The 20,738-nt window shown below is 38.8% G+C and overlaps 1 protein-coding gene and 1 long non-coding RNA gene across 4 annotated transcripts in view, besides 5 other annotated features; one reads left to right on the top strand and one right to left on the bottom strand.

Annotated features, from left to right (window-relative positions):
* Positions 1–4,228: 4,228 nt before the first annotated feature.
* GIRGL (glutamine insufficiency regulator of glutaminase lncRNA) lies at positions 4,229–8,352 on the bottom strand. Of its 3 annotated transcripts, none has more exons than NR_134567.1 (5): positions 8,307–8,352; positions 8,071–8,141; positions 7,566–7,673; positions 6,173–6,437; positions 4,229–4,586 (listed from the first exon to the last, which is right to left on the bottom strand). It is a non-coding gene; the product is annotated as a glutamine insufficiency regulator of glutaminase lncRNA (long non-coding RNA). The 3 variants fall into 3 exon arrangements; NR_134568.1 differs by having other exon boundaries at positions 6,173–6,346; NR_134569.1 differs by lacking the exon at positions 8,071–8,141 and having other exon boundaries at positions 6,173–6,346.
* Positions 5,506–6,035: an enhancer, noted in NCBI's record as "H3K27ac-H3K4me1 hESC enhancer chr7:20259517-20260046 (GRCh37/hg19 assembly coordinates)". NCBI's record gives its function as "activates a minimal SCP1, AML or CMV promoter by ChIP-STARR-seq in primed H9 embryonic stem cells {active_cell/tissue: H9 hESC(primed)}" and the evidence as "EXISTENCE:reporter gene assay evidence [ECO:0000049][PMID:30033119]".
* Positions 5,506–6,101: a biological region, named in NCBI's record as "H3K27ac-H3K4me1 hESC enhancer GRCh37_chr7:20259517-20260046".
* Positions 5,812–5,941: an enhancer, noted in NCBI's record as "active region_25690". NCBI's record gives its function as "activates an Ori minimal core promoter by ATAC-STARR-seq in GM12878 lymphoblastoid cells {active_cell/tissue: GM12878}" and the evidence as "EXISTENCE:reporter gene assay evidence [ECO:0000049][PMID:35858748]".
* Positions 5,952–6,101: an enhancer, noted in NCBI's record as "active region_25689". NCBI's record gives its function as "activates an Ori minimal core promoter by ATAC-STARR-seq in GM12878 lymphoblastoid cells {active_cell/tissue: GM12878}" and the evidence as "EXISTENCE:reporter gene assay evidence [ECO:0000049][PMID:35858748]".
* Positions 7,521–8,720: an enhancer, noted in NCBI's record as "P300/CBP strongly-dependent group 1 enhancer chr7:20256832-20258031 (GRCh37/hg19 assembly coordinates)". NCBI's record gives its function as "activates an origin of replication core promoter dependent on BRD2, BRD4, P300/CBP, MED14 and CDK7 cofactors, with strong dependence on P300/CBP, by STARR-seq in HCT116 cells {active_cell/tissue: HCT116}" and the evidence as "EXISTENCE:reporter gene assay evidence [ECO:0000049][PMID:35650434]".
* Positions 8,545–20,738, top strand: part of MACC1 (MET transcriptional regulator MACC1) — an 82,730-nt gene continuing 70,536 nt past the window's right edge. Inside the window, exon 1 of the mRNA NM_182762.4 lies at positions 8,545–8,630. The gene's annotated coding sequence lies outside the window, so the exon portion shown is untranslated. The remainder of the gene's footprint in view (positions 8,631–20,738) is intronic.

Raw genomic sequence — 20,738 nt, 5'->3', positions numbered from 1 at the left:
TTGTTAATGAACGGAGGGTAATAGAAGCAGTGACAAGGATGAGATTGCTCAGGGAAAGAGATGAGGTGCTAGGGCAAGCTGAGCAGAGGAAGGAGAGTGAGCCTGCAAGAACAGGAAAAGATCAGCCACAAGGAGAGCGGAGGCACTGAGACAGTGTGGTTTCTTAGATGCTAAGGGAGAGTAAGTTCCAAGGCATAATCAGTGAACTTCACTGTCGAAATTGCATCCAGCTCATCACCTTTTTCCAGCTCTCTGCTATGGGAACATTGGGAATATCTACTTACTGGCCCACTATGGGTGGGTGTGACCATGTGTTTAGTTTTGGCGAAAGACTTGTGAGCAGGAAGGATGTGTGTTGATTCAGGGAAGAGTTTATAATTGCCTGTGTAAAGTTCACCAGAGATCTCCCTCTATGAAGACACCAATGTTCAAAATGGAGCCTGCTCAGGTGGTCTAAGTCTTTGAGTGATTAAGAGAAAGTCCTCCCACTACTTCTCAATGGACAGGCAAATTGAACAAGAAAGAAATATCTGATGTCCTGAGCCTGAGATTTTGGGAGTTTTTTGTTCATTGCTTTTTTTTTTTTAATCTGTAGCACAATTTAGACCATTCTGACAAGTTTGAACATCTGCTGAGAAATCAAGAAAGATAAAGATTGAAAAAAAATGCGTTGAATTTAGAAAAATGGCCATAAGGAGAACTTGATGAAGGGAGAAGTCCGATTAGAAAGAGTTGAGGACTGAGAAGATAAGGAAATGAACAGCAAGTGTATATGGAGAGATTCTGTCAAAACATTGATTGGTGATAGGGAGCAAAGATGATCATAGTTGCTTGAGAGAGATGTAAATGTTTGTTATTTTTATAAAATGAGGGACATTGGAGAGATGTATGGATAGGAAGGATTCAAATGAGAGAAAGAGGTAAAATATACTGAAAACACAAGAGATACTTGATGTTAAATATTTCTTAAAAAGACAGGAGGGACATGCCTCGAGAATTGCTTAAAGTGTTAGGCAAATTTTGACTAATAAATAATTCTTGGCTCCTTATAAAGAATCAATTATTGGAACAGTAATGAATAAATAATTCTGCAATGATTAAAGAAGAAACAATGATGATACTTTTGCTATATTTAATTTAATTCATTCTTATTTTCTGGCCCTAGTGCCATCCACAAGAAGAGATAAGCTCTTGCTTTACATTCACTAGAATAAGACTTTTCTACATTTAGAACTGACCCTAAGCAAAACTCTCAAATATTAACTTTTATTTGGGCTACATTGGTTAGGTTATTTCATGTTTCAAGAAATAAAAATAATGAAGATGTGTTGAAAGGATGGAGAACACATTTAGGAAGCACAATAAGTCACTAACACATGTGTACAATCAGGAAGAACTTAAGTATAGGTTAGAACATAAGTCTTAGTACAATCCTCTACAATGCAGACTTCATGAAACCATAGATTTGTGTTTATTTTCTTCAATGCAATATAGCCAGCTCTTAGAACAGTCCCTGGCACACAGTAAGCAGTCAATAAGTATTTGTTGAATGTAAGAATAACTAACAGCTCACCTTGCCTTGCCTTTATAAATGGGTGTCTAATATTGCCTCATTCTGGGATCCTACCATTCCTGTGACTAGCTGTTCTCTTATTCTGCTTCCATCTCTTTCTGTTTCTACTGCCACAGCCAATCACCAGCCCTCCACCCTGCTGCTCTCTGCTCCAACAGCAAACTTTTGACTAGTTTGTAGTTTCTGCTTTCTGTCTTGTTGTGGTGCTTATCCTGGTTTTGCAATACTCCAGAGTTTGTACCTCTACTTGAAGTTTTCTGCTTGCATGCCAAAGAAAGAAAATTTGATTGGTTAGTTAGTTGGTTACTATCCCATGTAAAAATATTCTAATAAGACATAGCTTTCATGCTAGATTATTTTATAAGCCCACTATCTAACTGCATAGTTTTCAAATTTGCCTACAGAAAGGAAACCACTTTATATTGAACTCAACACTCAAAGACACACACACCACACACACACATACACTCACATACACATTAGAATGAACAGTTCATGAAACAACACTGACCCTTTTTAGTTCGATGTATTCTGATTTATTCTATTGTACTCTATTCATTTCATCTATTCAGTTCCATTCTATTTCAATTTATTCTATTTCACTTAAAAATGTTGATAAATTGATTAATGACCCACAAACTAGCCAAATATATTAGGTTGGTGCAAAAGCGATTGCGGTTTTTGCCGTTACTTTCAATACAATTTTAAAAATCCTGATCTAGTTGCAGATGGTCAGTTTTGGTTTGAACATCAATTTTCCACCCAGTGATCTGTGGTCAGTCATCTGTGGTGAGTCAGGGCAATGGAGTCATATAGTACCGGGCAAGGAAAATTGGATCCATGGCTCAGTTCTTTCAGGAGAAAGGAACCACTTGTGTGAGAGGCAATTCTTTCTGATGCAAGCAGATTCCTGCATTTATTTCTGCAAATAAATATCCCTCCGTTTAGTTCTCCCCTTATCCTTCCCCACTCAGCCCTGTTCATAAACTTACCCTTGCCAAAATGTCAATTGATGAATCCTTGCCATGGCAATCCCTCTAAGTTGTATTTCTGTTTTAATGCCATCTTGTTTAACTAATTTAATTTAATTGTTCTTGAGAGCAAACCATGTTTGAAGCTGAATCATCTGTTTATCACAATAAAATAATAGGTGACAGCCCAGAGGCAGGTGATGTTTTGGGGACACCATGCCTTTCTTTATGCTTCTTCAATCATACATCTTCTTCTAACACAGGTCCTGTAGTAAATCAAGAGACTGTCTCTTTTCCCCAATGGGTAGCCTATACAGGACTCAACTCCAACCTAGAATGTTACATGGAGAATTTCCTGAGGAAATTCCTGAGAATTGCTTAAAGTGTTAGGCAAATTTTGACTAATAAGTAGTTCTTGGCTCCTTATAAACAATCAATTATTGGAACATTAATGAATAAATAAATTAATTCTGTATGGTAGATGAACAATGGCCCCTCCAAAATGTCCTTGCCCCAATCCCTGGTATATGTAAATATGTTACCTGACATGGCAAAAGGAATTTTGCTATTGTGATTAAGGGTCTGTACCTTGAGATGGTGGGTGGGAAGGGGCTGATCCAGATTATCCGGGTGGCCTCAATGTAATAATGAGTCCTTCAAAGCAGAGAAGCTTTCCTGGCTGTAGTCAGTGAGAGAGATGTGATGACGGAAGGATCAGAGATGCGGCAAAAGAGCACTCAGCCTGAAGCTGCTGGCTTTGAAGAGGGAAAAAGAGATCTGCCCCCAGAAATGTGGGTGGCCTCTAGAAGTTGGAAAAGGCAAGGGGATGGATTGTCCCCCTAAAACCTCCAGAAAGAAAGAAATGTGGTCCTGCTGACACCTAGAATTTAGCCCAGTGAGACTTGTAGCAGCCTCCTGACTGCCAAACTTGTAAGACGTTAAGTTCGTGTGGTTTAAACTACCAAATGTGTGGTAATTTGTTGCACCAGCAATTGAAAGCGAATACAGTTAGAAGGAACATGTTAGCACCAGAAGAATGTGTGAAACTATAAGAAGCCAGCCTCATGTAGACTCCAACATCCGAGGTGGAAATTCTAATGGGGTATTGGATGGGTAACTTAAAGCATTCCTCTTCTATGTCAGAGAACACTGGGATTTGGCCCCTTGTCAGTGAACCTATCTGTGTCTCTGTGTTCAACCTTTTAATCTCAAGTTAGAGAATAGAGCTCACTGTGGCATAATACTTATTAGGTACATAAAAAATAAGAGACAATATTCCCAGGATATAAAATGTACTGCTTCTTTCTGACAGAGTTTCCAATTGTCAGAAAAATTTATCTACTCGTAAAATCCCACTAATGATGTCCACAGAACGTAACAGTAGGTGAATAGATGTTAATATTTTTTAAAAGTTTTGCATTTTCTTGTGCAAAATTTAAAAATGTGCAAGATATTTACATATATATATAATGAAGCCTATTATCTAAACATATTGGAAAATGAATTAGGAATATCTGCCACCCCCTTGTCTTGGGTTTATAGAATATAATTAAACATCGATATTCCATTCTCAAAGAACTTACTCACTATCTGGTATTCCAGAAACTCAGAGTAAATTATTTTTCCCACTAAAGTGGGTGAAGTAATTGATATGTTTGTCCACACACAGACACATACACATATATTTGTTAATGGAATGCACAAAAAGTGCTATTTTAATAGAGAGACACAAAATATTACATATTCATGGGACTTAGGGACAAAACTATGCCTTGGAAATTTTCTGGAAAATCACATAAGCTCCAAAGAAGTTGATACAAAGGCAGCTAAAGATCTTGGTTTGATAGTGGCAATTCTACCAATACAAATACAAAGGAATCAACAAATGGACAACTCTTTAGATTACAGTTATGACACAAGCAATCCACAGGCATTCCAGTGAAAACTGCACAGAGCTCTCTCTGTTGTTACTTGCAAAAGGCTAGCATGGAAATATCTTGTGTTCATGTGAAGAGTTGGCCCATATTTCCTTGCGTGTTATCCTGAAAGCAACAAATGACAGAAAAGAGTGATGAACATGTAAACCACAGCTTTGTGGGGGTCATTTTATGGATGATTCATCTTATGGTTGAGTAAGGCTCCGAAAAGATGTGATGAAGGAAACTATGAAATTGTTAACAACAACTTGGCTCACTTTCTTAATCTGGGGCAATAAAATCAATCTGACCTAAATTTACTCTGGCCCTAACATTTTACTATGATTTCAGCTATTCACTGAAATTAACTGGTAAATGGCATAGTCAAATGTTTTCAGAAAGTTACAGGATGATAATGACTCAGGGACAAAGTGACCCAGAAAACGGATGTCATAGCAGCCCGGGTTCTGAGAGTCAATACATACTGAAATAGGACAGAGAAAAAACTCCAGGGGGAACTTTCTTCCAAACTTGCAAATGTGGCCTTTCTCTTTCCAAGATAATGTCATACTAAGAAAAATCTGAACAAGGGGGGAATATGCTGTTTCCTATCACTCTTTCTGGTATATTTGTACTACAGGGGCCAAACATGAGTGACTTTAACATACGACATAGGTCACTGAAGGATACAAAAAAAAAAAAGAAAAAAGGAAACAAAAATCCTTTTGATTATTAAATAACAATAAGCAATAGCTTGTGTGCTTGAGTTCCCTCTCCAGTGTAGGAAACCACTAGTTCTGCTCCCTCTGAGATACAGAGAAGGGGTAGAGTCTAAATTCTAACCCTAGTTAAGAGAAAAAAATTACCTCTGCATTAATGAGCAACCTGACAGCTTCCATGTGGTCAGGCAAATTTTAAGTTAGAAGGAACTTTAAGCAAGACTTCCTCATTTTATTGACCAGTTTAATGTAGGTCAAATATATATACATGTACTCCAGGCACTGTGGAGATTTAGGATATTTAGAGATAAATAAAATCCAGTACTTGATCTGATGGAATCTAAATATACTGGGGTAGGTAGTGACAACGTGGTAAGAGTTGTGTGAGAGGTTCGTATCACTCAGAGTTTTTAGCTTCAAGCAACAGCAAATGACTGTGGCAGATCTAAACCGAAGAGCAACACACCAAACTTCAGTCCCAGAATTGCTGGGAGGGGCTTAAGAATCAGGCACACAGCTTACGAAGCCAGAGCAGCCCCCAAAGCAATGCCACTGAATAGGTTCCTTGTTTCTGCTAAGGCCCAGGAACCACAATTTGCATGACCAACGCCATGAGCCCTGGACTCTGCACCCCACGGCCACCACAGTCACATCCGGAACAGCAGGTTGTTTGCACAGCTGCCTCTGCTCACCACAAGAGTGAGTTCTCTTCTGTCCCTGCTTCTTTGTGTCAGCAGTTCCTAATTCCTGGTCCCAGATAGCCATGTCTGATTGCCATTCTAAGTGCTTTGCCTCTCCCTTATCTACAAGCGCAGCTGGGACAGTGAGTCATTGGGATTTCAGCTTCTATGTTGGTTGTGACCATTGCGTAAGTCAGTACAAGAAACATGGTAGGGGTAAGGAGGTCAGAAGAGACTTTCTTAAGGAAGTGATCCTGAGCCATGTGCTGAGGATGAGCTAAGGCCCCAACTTTACATAGCTGGTGATACTCACACAAGCAGGCTAAGGGGCCTCCAGTCCTTATGACATAATTAGAGGAGAGCTGGGAGGAATTTCCAGACAACAGCCACCTTCACCAGCCAGCCCTTTTGTCTGATGGTCCACACAAAACTCATTGTATGAGTCAGCAGGATCTAGAAGGTTCACTTCCTCCACAGTGGCCGACAGCTAGAAGACACAGCAGAGCATGTGGGGACCAGGAGAATCCCATAGAGGCAGAGGTGTGAGGAACTAGCAACTGTGGAAAGAATTCCCTTCCCTGAGGGAGGAGATCAGTGGTTAAGAACTATTTAAATAGTCCAAAGTGCACAGTTTAATCTTTAGAGCCCGTAGATTAGATAATAGGAGAAGGGATCCATAAATGCTGGAGCTGATAATCAAAAATCATAGATAGAGGTAGGGCCAGGTTTCCAGGACCATGGGACTGAGGACTCTAGGGAGCCCAGTCCTTGGGGAGCTGTTAGAAAGGCAAGTGCACAGCAGGGATTGGAGCTGGTAAACAGTGAGTGCTGACCCACTAGGGCTTTCATTTCGGGTACTGTCAAGGGTTCAATTGCTAGATTTAATGCTTTGCCTTTCTGCAAATAAAGGCTGTGGGAGCCACACCAGACCAGACTGCAGGGGGATTCTGATAACAGTACTCATGCATGGCATTTAGGTAGCTTTTTAAATGTAAATGTTTTCCGGGAGACATAAAGATGGCATTAGGCATTAACACACACACACCTTAGAGTTAACATCTCAGTTATTTTATGTGTTGATTGTTTATCACAAACATCTACTTGTACATTAATGAGTTAATGAAGTAGGGATACAATGAGGCCTTGCCTTCAAATAGGAATGTAAGACTGCATAGGTACACACACACCCATGTAAACCAATGAAATGAGATATACAATGTGTTATGAGAGGAGCAGATGCAATATTATGAAATTGATTAGGAGGAAGAGAATAACTCAGATTAAGACAAACTGAGAAGGACATCTTGAAGAGTGTTTTTCATTGAGCTTTGGAAAAAATGAAATCTCTGAACATTTCAAGATGAGCAAAAATGGTTTCAGGGAGGAGAAATGCCATGCAGAATGCCCTCTGTAGGGTTTGGGGAAATTAAGAACCATTTGTTTTGGAAATAATATAATGACATAAAGGAAAGCTAGGTTCTAGTAGAGAGTTGAGGAACCTGTGACAAAAAGAAACAGAACAGCTCAGTTTGGATTGTGGGATGAGTCAAGGGGAAACTTCAAAGGGAATCTGGGTGGATTAGGTGATCTGGCAGCATGAAGCCAGGGATGCATCAGGGAGGAAGGGGTGGTTAGAACAGTAGGAGAGAAAGTGCAGAAAAGGGAAAGGAAACTTTTTCTTTGTCACCATTCTGCCATCTACTTACATTAGATGAATCCTTCTATTATGTTTCTGAACCCAGACCCAGCCAGGACTTGTCTCTATTCATTTTCTGGGCTGTGTCTAACAGGAGATAATAGGCTAGAGAGAGATGCTGTATGAACAAATAGAGAAACACATTTGTTTTAAACATTCTCTGTTGCTGATGTTGGAAAAAAATGTGAAACAATTATTGCACATTTCATTTCACTAAGTTTTACCTTTTTTCCCCTTTCCCCTAATTTTCTCTTTCTTGAATTTTGAACAAAATACACAGAAGGAAAACACAAAACACAGAAATGGAAAGTAAAATGGAAGAAAATATCAAGAAAACTTTATTCTTGCTTATATTTTAAAAGGCACATTTTAAAGTGTTATCTTAAAAATCCAGAGCATTTTAGAAGATGAAATGCCAAAAGGTCTCCATTATGTCTATATGTCTATGTCTTTGAGTGACAATCACAGTGCTGATGTAGAGGGAAAGGGGGAACTAGTTAGACACTGTCACTCACCTGGGAAGGCTTTATTCACCTGTTCCACAGGGCAGTGAGGCACCTTCAGCTCTGAATCACCGAAAGAGAATCTGGTGGGGCAAGTTCCAGCTGCATGAGGATTTGCTTGCATAAATATTTTTTACTTATTGCTAACACTGAGGGTGCCTTCTTACTCCCTGGCAAACATTAAACCACTTTTATTTCCTTTCATGGAAATAAGATTATATTTACAGATGGTTCTTAGATATACTCACCTGATTTTTTTTTAATTGCTTTTCCACCTGCTTCCCCTTTCTTCTTAGGGTGAAACTCTAGCCATACGCCCTCTTCTGGTTTCGGGTGAGGAGCCTGAATTGTGGGTATCGTAGTTCTCTTGCCTTTTGGGGTTTCTAGTTGGGCAGCTTTGGAGCCACAGTGGTAGAACTTCAAGTCCCAGGTGGCTCAGGAAGCAGGGGTGCAGTTGCCTGCCTGCATACGGAGCAAGGCATGTTTGAAGAGTACCCGGGTTTGGTAGAGTGACTTCTATTCACTAAAACCATGTGTCTGAACTGAAGAAGCTTGGGCTCACTTCCACAAATGTAAGTGCTGATTTTTTAAAAATAATATTCCTTTCACTATTGATATGTGCTACACACTAGGAAGTTGTATAATTTCCAGAAAAATGTAACAAACCAGCTGCTTAACAAATCAAGCCCTGCTTAAATAAAGGGAAGGTAACTGGTATTCTGTGGGCTTATGGGACATGTGTTAGAATAAACCTCATGACATAGAATAGAATAATACCTTGAGACATGGTTTAGAATAAAGTAGTTTATTTTAAAAAAAAGGAGGAACCCAGGTCACATTAACCATCAAAGGCAAAAACAAAACACTCTATGAGTTGCTTAAAATATGTAGATGGCTGAAATCCCCTAAAAACTTTAAATATCTCAAAAAGCATACAGGTATGTTAAAAAGACTGTGCTTTGAAGATAGATAAAGTTGCAATCAGCAGCCCCACTGCTTATTAGATTTATGACCATTGACAAGATGTTTCACCTCGCAAAGTCTCAGTTTCCTCATCTGTAAAGTGTGTGTGCATAACCTACCTCATTAGGTTAATAGCATTAAATTATGAATAAAAGATAATCATGTAATTAAGTTAAGGGGGTCATTAAATTAGCACAGTGCATTGTACTGAATAGACAGATGATACATGATGGAGGGTAACTTGGCTTCATCCTAATTAAGTTTCAATTAAGCTTGGAAAACACACCAAAGAAACAAAAAGACAAATACTGGATGATTCAACTTACCTGAGGTATCTGGAGTAGTCAAACTCACATAAATGATACTTAGAATGGTAGTTGCCAGGGGCTTGGGGGAAGGAGAAATGAGAGTTGTTTAATGGATATAGAGTTTCAGTTTACAAGATGAAAACACTTGGAGACTGTACAATAATGTAAATATATTTAATACTATTGAACTTAAAATTTGTAAGTGTAAACACTTACAAATGGTTAGGATGGTAAATTGTATGTTAAGTTTTTTACCACAATTAATAAAGATAGATTTTAAAAAATTTATTTTTAAGATCAAAAAGCATGTAGTGAAAATTCCAATGCCTTCCATTTATTAAAGGTCTTCCTAATTTCCTAAAAATGTCTTAAGTCTATATTCAGTGGGTCTAATTTAGGATTGATATTGACTTATCTATGTTAATGTCTGGTTTTTACATAGCAATTACTGGGTGATAATGATGAATTTCAGGTATATTCTTAAAGTTGTCTTAACCTCAGTGGTGATTCTTTTATGCCCCCCTGAACTTAATTACATGATTATCTTTTATTCATAATAGCGATTTTTAATATGATTTCATGGGTAGTGTACAGAATCTAGAAATTATGAAGTCATAATTATTAGTTACAATTTGCTTAAAAGCTTTAGTTATGACTCATTTTTAAAACTTAAAGCAAAAATATTATTTATTCCAGTTTTCTCAACTTCCTTGTAGCTAATTTACAAATAGAATATTTTTATCTGTTTGTGTTTTAGAGATAATAAAAACTATTAAGGCAAAGTTTGTTAAACACCATCTTATCTTAAAATGTATTGGCTGATTTGGAGGACAAAAGACATTTTGGAATTATACTAATTTTGAACTTGAAGACATGTCTGTTGAATTTTTAGAGAATTCTTTCTTGAAAGACCACACATATGCCTAGGTGTCTATTAAGACTAAACATCCCTTATGGCATTTGGTGATAAGTGAAGGTGATAACAACCAGCATTTCAGATGACTGTGCAGAGTTTTACATGTGATATGCCATATATTAATAAATGTAAACCCTATGTCAGCAAGTCCAGGATAGAATTAGAATGAAACTTGTAATTCTCCAAAGGTGGAGGAAAGCTGCAGAGGCACTGAACACTGTATACTTCTAAAAGGGTGGCTTTTTTTGTTGTTGTCAAGTGCCGTCTATGGTGTAGTGTCTCTAGGAAGTGTCATTCATTCAATTGACAAAGATTTCTAGCAATCCTGCAATATACTCCCCCTGGGCTGGGTTTAGAGGCTAGAAGAAACTCATGCACAGCCCTTGAGGGGATCCTTATCTACTAGCAGAGATATGACCTCATAAATAGTTAAAGAGAGTAAGTGCTAATTCATTAGTCATTCATGCTGTTCATAGAGTCACTCCACAGAAAGTGTGATGCTCAGTATCAGGGGATTAAAAAGACACCTTCAAAAACCTTTCTTTCAACTATAATTACTGGAGACCAAATAAATAAATAAATAAATAAATAAATAAATAAATAAACTTGAGATGTATATGAGTCATTCAGAAGCAGAGTGGAGTGACTTCCTAAAACACAGAAGAGACGCGTACCCAGGCTGCCAGAGGAAGGGGCAGTCACAGTGCCCTGAATTTCAAGAGGACATTGTGGGAGGTGGTGGAACTTTAAGCAGGCCTGGAAAAATGTGCAGAGTTGAGATGGGCAGGAAAAGGTCATGAAAGTATCTCACGTACAGCAGTGTTTTCCAAACTTTCGCACATTAAATGATTTTCGGAAACATATGGACTGATCAATCAATAACAATAACATTAAGATTACAGATTGAGAAAGTTATATTTTTTGACTTAGTTTCAATTCTTCAGAAATAAGTTTTGTTGTTTTTGATATGACTTAAACTTCTCCAAACACTTGTTTAAGCTTCCTTTATAACACTCACAGAATAAGCAATAAATGTTAGTAGGCAAAAAGTACTTAGTTTAATTTAATTACTGCTTTAAAATAACATTTATATATAGTTATTGCCTATTTATTACAATAGATATCAGCTTTTTTCATTTATGGTACTAATAGACATTAACCTTTCAAATATTTGTCTTACTTAAAATAAGAGTGAATTTACAGGAAATATTAAGTAAAAAGTAGTTCAGGTGGCAATTGGTAGTGGAAAAATCATGATGAGGTACCAGAATGAGTGAAGTTTGGGAAACACTGAAGTAGGGGGAATATCAAGCACAAGAATTAGGAAGTGAAATTGAATGGGCTGTTTTTATGTGTAGCTGGAAAGAAAGGAGGGATACTGGGTATTCCATGGAGGGTATTCTAGGGGATTTTGGATGATAATGCTGGAATAAGGTTGGTTGTGGAAGCTTTAAAGGGATTTATTCTTCAGCGGCTGGATAACAGGGGGCTCAAAATGGTTCTGACCAGGAGCCAACTGTGGAAATCCATACTTTAGCGGGTTCCTCCTGGGCATAGTGTGCAGGAGGATTGGAGCATAGGGAATATGACACCAGGAGAGCTCTTTGGAAATAGGTTTCAATAAGCTGAACATGAATAAATGAAGAGTGGTAGGAATTAAAATGGAAAAGAAGCAGAGGATGAAGGAGTAATTCAATAAAAAAGAAAACTGAATAATAATAATTATAGTGACAGCCAAGCTGCTCTTGAGTTTTTATTTATTTTATTTTTAACTTTTATTTTATGTACAGGGGTACATATGTAGGTTTGTTACATAGGTAAACTTATGTCATGGGGCTTCGTTGTACAGATTATTTCATCACCCAGGTATTAAGCCTAGTACCCAAGTTATTTATCTTGACCCTCTGCCTCCTCCCACCCTCCACCCTTCAATTGGCCTCGGTGTGTGTTGTTCCCCTTTATGTGTCCATGTGTTCTCATCATTTAACTCTCACTCATAAATAAGAACATGCAGTATTTGGTTTTCTGTTTATGATAGCCTCCAGCCCCATCCATGTCCCTGCAAAATACATGATCTTGTTCTTTTTTATGGCTATGTAGTATTCCATGGTGTATATGTACCACATTTTCTTTATCCAGTCCATCATTATGGGCATTTAGATAGATTCCATGTCTTTGCCATTGTGAATAGTGCTGCAATGATCATATGTGTGCATATGTCTTCATAATAGGATGATTCATATTCCTTTGGTTATATACCCAGTAATGGGATTGCTGGATAAAATGGTATTTGTGTCTTTAGGTCTTTGAGGAATTGCCAGACTGTCTTCCACAATGGCTGAACTAATTTACACTCTCACCAATGGCATATAAGCGTTCCTTTTTCTCTACGACCTCACCAGCATCTGTTATTTTTTGACTTTTTAGTAACAGCCATTCGGACTGGTGTTAGATGATATCTCATTGTGGTTTTGATTTGTATTTCTTTAATGATCAGTGATGTTGAGCTTTTTTTCATATGATTGGTAGCCACATGTATGTCTTCTTTTGAAAAGAGAGCTTCCAAAGGGAAGGGTGGGCCACCATCTTTGCATTTTCCACATCTTAATTATTCCAGCCTGTGGGCTTTGGAAATGTCAAGTCGACCAAGGTGGAAGTGGTATCCCAGCACAGAACAGCTGCTCTACGAAAACATGACCATACAGCTTCTTTAAGCCAGTCCCTGATCTCATTTCTTTTTACTAGGTGGAACCTACCAAATGGGGTCTCCAGCCACTCCCGCTAGTATTCTTCCGCCTACAGAAATTTGAAAACTCCCTGGGCCAGAACTCCCAGAGGGAGGAGCGGGCTGCCATCTTTGCTGTTTGAGCCTCTGGAGTTTTTAAGCTTGGTGGTCTGAGAGAAGGACAGTAGCACTGAAGGAAAGGAGAGGGAACTGGTTCTTGTGGGGAAATGCAGCTTTGTATCTCAGGTGATTTGAAATTGAGAGGAGAATGGACCTTCAAGCAGAAAAGGGAAACTATGTTGTTAATCATGTGGGATTGGAATTCTGGAGTGCCATCAGGGAGGGCCAGATAAATGGAGGAGACAAGTATGTTCCTCATTAAAATGACACCTAGCTCCGCTTTTCCTCCTGCCCCACTCAAGTTTCCAGGAGAAGAGAGCTGAAGAGAGATTCTTCAGGTACTCAGGGATGGGAAGGCAGAGGAAGGGCATGCTGACTCTTTCCTCCCAGGTTTTGTTTTCTCTTGGTTACTGTGGCCACCACCTTGCCCAGAGATAAGAGGCTTCTTTATAGGGGCCTTCCTTGGAATAAACAGAAACATCTTCATCTCCAGCCAGAACAGACATCAGGTTTAATTTCCAGGAATGGTAGAAGAGTTTTGTATGTTTTCTATTTCCACTGGGAAGACACCTAATTTAGATATTTCCCCAATACATGTAATATGTAGTAGACATTTAAAGATAGATATTGCAAAGACTTATGTACTCACCTCCCAGTTTAAGAAATAAAATATTAAAGATAAAAAAGTACCCTGCTTAATCCTATTCTCTTTTCACCCTCAAAGGTTACCACTATCCTATCTTTGTCGATATCACTGCAGTGTATGTTTTTATTCTTTTCTTTTTTAAATGCTTTTATTCTTTCCACTGCTGTGTATGTGAAGATATCCATAAACAACAGTCTATAAGATTGTTTTGAATGTTTGAAAATTTTGTGGAAACAATAAAGTATACATTATTCATCTGCAACTTGCTCTTTTCTCTCTACATTATACTTTTAAGATTAATCCATGTCTATTCTTACAGCACAACTTATTTTCATGGCTGTATGGCATTTTGCTATCATAAGTAGTACTATAAAATATTATAGTACATTCCTATTTGTGTCCAAATGAAAGAATTACTCTAGTGAATATTTGCAGAAACTGATTTGCTGAACCGTGGGCATGTGTACCTTCAACTTTATGAGATATTGAGAAATTGCTTTCCAAAACATTTATAACACATTATATTCCCAGCCAAAATAGGAGTTCCTGTTTCTATTCTAAACATACTTGTTTATCTCAAATGTTCTAATCAAATAACCTTTCCAGATGTCACTGAAAGCCAGAAGCTTGTGGCATCTGGGAGACTCAGATATGTTTGGAACACTCCCATTTCTAAAATATGGTGCAAAATTTGATCTGAAATCAACCTCTCCGTTTCTCAACCTATGGCGTTAGAGATTGACTGACTTTTCCACAGGTATTAACTTTAGTATTATTCATATGACTTTTCCATTTAACAGGCACTTACTTTAGTATTAATCATATTAATCACAATAATGATAATGATAATATTGATAGTAACTATTAGTACCAACTGAGTACTTACTATATGCCAAACACATTAATTATATTATATTATTTAATTAATTTTGAGGAGGAGCAGATAATGCTATTATACCTCTTTTAGAGATGAAGAAACTGATTCCCAGGAATCCTTATGTTAATAGTTAGTAAATAGAGATTGTTAGTCTATTCCATCTAGGACAGCTGAGAAATGATAGATGGGAGCAAACTGAGAAGAGAGACATCAAATTATTACAGTCCTTAACTTTTAAAAGTTTAGACTCTAGACACTATATAAATAATATCAAAAGAGCATACATACACACATAATAGGAGGCAGATCTCAAATAAGTGCTATATTTGTACTGAGAAGAATTTAGTTTTGCATAGGAAGATTGGGAAATGATTCTTACAGGTGACTAAACTTTACTAAGCCCTGGAGTCTTGACAGAGGAAATTAATGAGGCAAAAATTGGAGGCAGTAGCTCTTTAGAAAATATGGGAAAGTGGCAACTACAGAATATTTTTGAGAAAGTTAATTAATGTATTTAATCATTAATTAAACAAATAATTCCTGACCATCCATTAAGAGGTTCTGGGGCTACATTGTGGGATATAGCAGTGAACAAGAAAGATGCCATCCCTCCTCATTGATGGCAGTGCTAAGAGATGTACTTGGGGAAATGGGGGCAAAATATGAAAAGAAAAAGATTGAAAGGATAGGTAACATCTAATTTTGAAGGATTTTCAAATACCAGCCTAAGAAGCATGCACATTATTTCCTGAAGGCAGTGGGGAATCAATATAGGTCACTGTGACGTAGGTAGCGTCATTCATTCATTTATTCAGTTAGCATGTATTTTACCTGTATTTTGCTTAGCACTGGGTACATAGGGATGAAAGAGGTCATAGTGCGATGAAAGTGACAAATACATACATAAAACGTATAATACAATGTGAGAACTATGCCAGAGGTTTGTATAGGACAGTGATGCCTAACCTAGGCTGTGGATGTGCAGTGAGGAGAGAGAGGGAGAGGGAGACAGTGGAAGATATTCTAAGATGCTTTTTTGGGTAAAGAAATTTGCTTGAAAAAATCTGCCAACTTGATTTAGACTTTTATAAAATAATGTGTTTTTTGCTGATTTCAAAAGTGTTGCATGTTCACTATAGAAAATCTACAAATCACAATTATGCTTACCAAGGATGCATACCTTTAAGGTTTGTGTGTGCATTAGTTCTCATGTTGCTATGAAGAAATACCCAAGACTGGGTAATTTATAAAGAAAAGAGGCTTAATTGTCTCACTGTTCCACTGTTCCACATTGCTGGGGAGGCCTGAGGAAACTTACAATTATGGCAGAAGGCACCTCTTCACAGGGCAGCAGGAGAGAGAATGAGTGCCAGCAGGGAAAATGCCGGACAATTATAAAAGCATCAGATCTCATGAGAAGTCACTCACTGTTACAAGAGTAGCATGGGGGAACTGCCCCCATGATTCAATTACCTCTCATCAGGTTCCTCCCACAGCACATGGGGATTAGGAAGATCACAATTCAAGATGAGATTTGGGTGGGGACACAGCCACAACCGTATCATTTCACCCCTGCCCCAAATCTCATGTTCTCACATTTCAAAACACAATCATGCCTTTCCAATAGTCCCCCCCAAAGCCTTAACTCATTCCAGCATTAACCCAAAAGTCCAAGTTCAGAGTCTCATCTAAGACAAGGCAAGTGCCTTCTCCCTATGAGTCTGTAAAACCAAAAACAAGTTAGTTACTCCCTAGATACAATGGAAGTACAGGCACTGGTTAAATACACCCATTCCAAATGGGAGAAATTGGCCAAAACAAAGGGGCTCTAGGCCCCATGCAAGTCTGAAATCCAGTAGGGCAGTCATTAACCCATAAAGTTCCAGAATGATCTCATTTGACTCTATGTCTCACATCCACATCACGCTGATGCAAGAGGTGGGCTCCTATGGCCTTGGGCAGCTCTAGCCCTGTGGTTTTGCAGGGTACAGCCCACTTCTAAGCTGCTTTCACAGGCTGGCATTGTCTGTGGCTTTTCCAGGCATATGGTACAAAATGTCAGTAGATTTACCATTCTTGGTCCTGGAGGACAGTAGCCCTCTTCTCACAGCTCCACTGGGCAGTGCCCCAGAGCGGACTATGTGTGGGGGCTCCAATCCCACATTTCCCTTCTTCCCTGCCCTAGTAGAGGTTCTCTATGAGGGCCCCATCCCTGTAGCAAACTTCTGCCTAGATATCCAGGCATTTCCATACATCCTTTAAAATCTAGGCAGAGGTACCCCAACCTCAATTCTTGACCTCTGCCCACCTGCAGGCTCAACACCATGTGTAAGCCACCAAGGCTTGGGGCTTGCAGTCTCTGGAGCAATGACCTGAGCTGTACCTTGATCCCTTTTAGCCATGACTGGAGGTGAAGCAGCTGGGACACAGGGAACCATGTCCCAAAGTTGCATAGAGCAGTGGGGCCCTTGGCCCTGCCCACGAAACCGTTTTTCCCTCCTAGGCCTCTGGGCCTGTGATTCGAGGGGCTGCCTTGAAGTCTCTGACATGCCCCGGAGACATTTTCCCCATTGTCTTGGTGATTAACATTTGGCTCCTCGTTACTTATGCAAATTTCTGCAGCAGGCTTGAATTTCTCCCCAGAAAATGAGTTTTTCTTTTTTATCACATCATCAGACTGCACATTTTCCAAACTTTTATGCGTTGCTTTCTCTTGAATGCTTTGCCACTTAGAAATTTTTTCTGCTAGATACCCTAAATTATCTCTCTCAAGTTCAAAGTTCCACAGATCTCTAGGTCAGTGGCAAAATGCTGCCAGTCTCTTTGCTAAAACATACCAGGAGTGACCTTTACTCTAGTTCCCTATGAGTTCCTCATTTCCATCTGAGACCACCTCAGCTTCAACTTCATTGTCCATATTACTATCAGCATTTTTGTCAAAGCCATTCAGCAAGTCTCTAAGACGTTCCAAACTTTCCCACATTTTCCTGTCTTCCTCTGAGCCCTCAAAACTGTTCCAACCTCTGCCTGTTACCCAGTTTCAAAGTCACTTTCACATTTCAGGTATCCATATAGCAGCACCTCACTTCTTGTACCAATTTACTGCATTAGTCCATGTTTACGCTTCTATGAAGAAATACCTGAGACTGGATAATTTATAAAAGAAAGAGGTTTAATTGACTCACAGTTCTGCATGCTGGGGAGGCCTCAGGAAGCTTACAATCATGGTGGAAGACACTTCTTTACAGGGCGGCAGGAGAAAGGATGAGTCCCAGCAGGGGAAATGCCAGACACTTATAAAAGCATCAGGTCTCATGAGAAGTCACTCACTGTCATTAGAACAGCATGGGGGAAACTTCCCCCATGATTCAATTACCTCCCACAGGGTCCCTCCCATGACACATGGGGATTATGGGGATTACAATTCAAGATGAGATTTGGGTGAGGACACAGCCAAACCATATCAGTGTGTATATCCTGTTAACCTTTTAATGCCAATGATAGATATTATGAATGGATAATTTATAAAAGTTATGTAATATTTTTAGTTCACTTACCTATGTGTTTCATAATTTTGATATCTTTGTGTATTCTTCTATAATACAAGTTTAAATTTTGCTCATTTTATGTCATAATTTAAACATTCGTTTATTGATGAAAATACCTATTTTTTCCCCTAATATTTGTTATTAGAAATTCAACATGGTGAATAGCGCTATGTTGCACATCGTTCAAAAATCCTAGGACATATCTGATTTATTTTAAAGATAAATTTCTAGAATTTGAATTATAGGTCCTAACATATAAAAGCGTTTCACCATATTATAGAGGAGAAGGAAAGTCCTTTTAAAATATTTAAAAATAGGCTGAGCCCAGTGGCTCATGCCTGTAATCCCAGCACTTTGGGAGACAGAAGTGGGAGGATCACCTGAGGTCAGGAGTTTGAGACCAGGCTGGCCAACATGGTGAAACCCCGTCTCTACTAAAAAAAAAAAAAATACAAAAATTAACCAGACATGGGGTGGCACATGCCTGTAATCCCAGCTACTTGGGAGGCTGAGATAGGAGAATCGCTTGAACCTAGGAGGCGGAGGTTGCAGTGAGCCGAGACTGCGCCACTGCACTCCAACCTGGGTGACACAGCAAGACTCTGTCTAAAAAAAAAAAGAAAAGAAAAAGTTAACAATGGATTGAATTTGATGAAACTTGCATTTTAGAAAGATTATCCTAAAAATAATTTAAAGGGCAAATAGAAAAGATTGGAGGCAGTTTACCAGGTCAGATTTATCACAAAAATCTAGGTGAGAAAATAATAAAGCCTGCACAAAAGAAGTCAAATTACTAATGGAACGTGGCAGAAGATTTTAGAGATACTAATTTTGTAGAAGTTCATGGATTGGCAACAGTGACTGGGGGGCCGGAGGAGGTAAAACTGATTGTGGATTACCTCTCAGTTTCTGACACAGGTATCTAACTGGGTGGATGGGGATGTCCTCATTCCTTTCAACATGAAAGACAAGAGAAACAGGTTTGGAAGGAAGAACAGATAAGTTGACGTTGGCCAACTTTGACATACCTGTGGCCATCCATGTGGAGAAATTCCTTAAGCAATGGAACAGGTCTTGGAGTCAGGAGGCCAAATGGTTTAGAGATTAATAGATGTGCAAGTCAGCAATCCTTCAGTGTAGCTATAATCTTGGCTGTGGATGGCTCTCCCAGGGGTGTTAAGAACTGCAGCATAAGATTAGGGTGCTCAGGGTGCTGCTCTCTGATGTAATAACATTAATGTTTAATCAGAGAAAGAAACAGCCATAGAGGAGACTAAAAAGGAGAGATCAGAGAAACAGGAGAAAATCCCAATGGAAGGTAGAGTGAATAAGGACAAAGAAGGAGAACTTCTCAAGAAGGGAAGAGCTAACAGTGTCACATGTCACAGCAATGCCAAATAAAATAGAAAGGTGTCCTTTGAACGTCACTGGAAGTCTTGCCTAGAGCAGTTTCAGTAGAGTGGCAGGGATAGGCACTAGAATGTCATGATTGTACCTGTGATTCAGGAAGATGACTGTCCTCACTATGGGCAGAATGACTTAGGGAAGGAAGAGACAATAATGTGGGAGACAAGTGTGGTGAAGATGGGATCAGGACCCCAGAAAGGAGATAATAAAGGCTAACCCAAGGCAGGCACCATGGTATCAGAAAGAAGGGGCCTGGGTAGTGGATTTACCAAGCAGATGACGATAATGTGTGAGAAAGACGATGGAGTTCAAGAGGGCTCTAATATTTTCATCTGAAACAACAGAGAAGATTGTGAAACTATCCCAAAAGGCAGAACTAAGGAAAAGAAATAGACATTTTTGTTGATAGAGATAAGGAAGAAGAGATATATTGATGTGAGGTATATATGGAGGTGCCTGAGGGTAGGGTCAGTGTTCACATGGAAACAGTGTTCACATGGAGACGTCAGAAAAGTGAATGCTACAGTTCTGCAGCTCTGGGGAGGGGTCTTGGTTGGGGACAAACATCATTGAGCTTTCCCATAAAAATAGGGATTTCAAATCATGGAAAAGGATGGAACGACTCAAGGAGATTACTGAAAGTGAGAAGAAACAAACAAACAAACAAAAAACCCTTGAGAAATGTTTAAATAAACAGATATCACAGGAGGAGCCACCACAGAAAACAGGGAAGAATGGTCAAAGCAATAGCAGGAAAATAAGGAGAATATTATTTCAAATGAGTTTATATTTTTTGGTAACTAGGTGAGCTGTAAGAAACAAACTTTCTTTTCACAGGCGACTACAAAAAAAAAATAGATTGAATTACAGGTGAGGTGATGAAGTGGTTTTAGGAAATTGAGATCATGACCAAATCAGACCACACCACAGATCAAGCAGGATCAAGGAAGCCCCTTAGCATCTGGGCTTTTCCTAACTCCTGCTTTGTCCTGGAAAATATATTTTAAGAATATCTGCTGTAATACTGTGATTTATTAATATGTTATCTTTGAGTTATTTTTTCCAACTTCTATGTTCTTTTGGTATGAAATTAAGCACCTAACTTTAATTGTATGCAATAGCTTTTGACTTACTTTCCTCCCAACTGAAGTTACAGCAAAAAGTTGATGA

This window comes from Homo sapiens, chromosome 7 (genome assembly GCF_000001405.40).
Source record: "Homo sapiens chromosome 7, GRCh38.p14 Primary Assembly".
Taxonomy (NCBI): domain Eukaryota; kingdom Metazoa; phylum Chordata; class Mammalia; order Primates; family Hominidae; genus Homo; species Homo sapiens.
Note: the sequence above shows the minus strand (reverse complement) of the source record. Positions and strands in the feature narration are given on the sequence as shown.